The sequence below is a fragment of the Homo sapiens genome (genome assembly GCF_000001405.40).
Source record: "Homo sapiens chromosome 16 unlocalized genomic scaffold, GRCh38.p14 Primary Assembly HSCHR16_RANDOM_CTG1".
Classification (NCBI taxonomy): Eukaryota; Metazoa; Chordata; class Mammalia; order Primates; family Hominidae; genus Homo; species Homo sapiens.
In genome coordinates, this window is record NT_187383.1 from 1,344,172 (window position 1) to 1,345,878 (window position 1,707).

The 1,707-nt window shown below is 63.2% G+C and overlaps 1 protein-coding gene across 1 annotated transcript; it reads left to right on the forward strand.

Moving 5' to 3' along the window:
- Positions 1-568: 568 nt before the first annotated feature.
- On the forward strand, positions 569-1,497 carry LOC102724014 (translation initiation factor IF-2-like; the record flags this gene model as incomplete). The annotated part of the gene is made up of 2 exons (XM_037916379.1): positions 569-610; positions 886-1,497. Coding segments are annotated over exons 1-2 (654 nt in total), but the record flags the coding sequence as incomplete, so codon positions are not given.
- Between the last annotated feature and the right edge of the window lie 210 nt (positions 1,498-1,707).

Genomic DNA, 1,707 nt, shown 5'->3' on the forward strand with positions numbered 1-1,707 from the left:
ACTCAAGGGATCCAGGACAAGATAACAGGTGTGAGCCACCCCACCTGGCCATGTGCAGGAATTTTAAGACAAACACAAGGCCCCACAAAAGTTAAGGTTTTCCCACCTAATTTCCAGGGGATCTTTTGGTGCAAGGATGAGAAGCCCTTAAAAGTACACAGACAACTCCAAAGATTCAAGACAGTTCATTCGGGCTGAGCCAGCCCACTGGGCAGACTGACCTTCAAAAAAGGCCCACCCATGACATACACCAGATGGCTCTCCAAGAATCTCTCCAGTCCTCAGGGTCCCTAAGGTACTGGACAGAGCTAGGAAAGCAAGCCTATTTGCTTTTTCCTGCAAGAAACCCCTTGAGGTCAAGACCCCACAATCAGACGAGGATGGAGTGGCTCACCCTCAGTCAACATGCCAGATTCAAGGTGGTATAATGTCTTAACCAAGCGTGTGGGCCTCCAGGTCTGACTCCCAACTCAGTTCTCCTTTAATAACCACTCTTTGTTAATTCTCCTTAACAGGGGTTCCTGGCAAGTCAGTTCTCCCTCAGGCCTTCGGTTTCCTCACCTACAAGATGAGAGGGCTGGACCAGATGGAAATTCGGGGGGGGGGGGGGGTAAGGGGATGTCCGCGCGCAGCCCACCCCACCCATGGGCCCCTCGAGCCTCTATCCCAGTTCCGACCACGCACCCGCCCCAGAAATCCTGCCCAAGGTGAGGGCTGGACCCGGGTCCTCCGGCTGCCGCATCAGCAAGTGCAGGAGGGAGAAGCCTCCAACCGGGCGACTCGAGCTCAAGGATGCAACTCCGCCAGAAGTGAACTAGGGCCCGGAGGGAGGTGTCCGGGCCGCTCCTCGAGCCCAGCCGGGGTCCACACACCCCTTACCTCCAGGGTCCGTATCTCCTGCTGGGTGAGGTCGTTGGACACAGCGCACTTGGTGCGCAGCCCGCGCAGGCTGCCGATGAGGTTCTGGAGCTGCCCGCACTGCTGCAGCGCCCGGCTGGCCGCCGCCCCTGCGCCTCCCACCGCGGCCGGCGCATCACCCCCGCCACCGCCCTCCTTCTTCTCTCACATCGCGGCCGCGCGGAGCGCCGCTCTATGCAGGCCGCAGCGGCCAAGGCGGGGAGCCCGGGGCGCCGGCGCGTAGGCAAGGGACCCCCGAGCCGGGAGAGCTGGACCAGGAGCGCCCCTCAGCGCTGCCCGAGCCAGGACGCCGGTAGAGCTGGCAGCCGAGTGTGCCGCTCCCGCCCTCAGAGCCGCGGCGGGCAAAAAGCTGCGGCGTCGGGGGCAAAAAGGCGCGGCGTCGGGGGCAAAGAGCCGCGACGGCAAAAACCCGCGGCGGCGGGGGCAAAAAGCCGCGGGGGCAAAAGCCACAAAAAGCCGCGGCGGCGGGGGCAAAAAGCCGCGCCGGCAAAAAACAGCGGCGGCGGGGGCAACAAGCCGCAAAAAGCCGCGGCGGCGGGGGCAAAAAACCGCGGCGGCGGCGGGGGCAAAAAACCGCGGCGGGGGCGGCGGCAAAAGCGGCGGCGGCGGGGATGGAGGCAAAAAGCCGGGGCGGCGGCGACGGCGGCAAAAGGCGGCGGCGGCAGAAAGCGGCGGCGGCGGCAGAAAGCTGCGGCAAAAAGGGGCGGCGGCAGAAAGCGGCGGCAAAAAGCCGCGGCTGCGGGAGCAAAAATATATGTATAGACATATATATTTTATATGCAGTCTTGC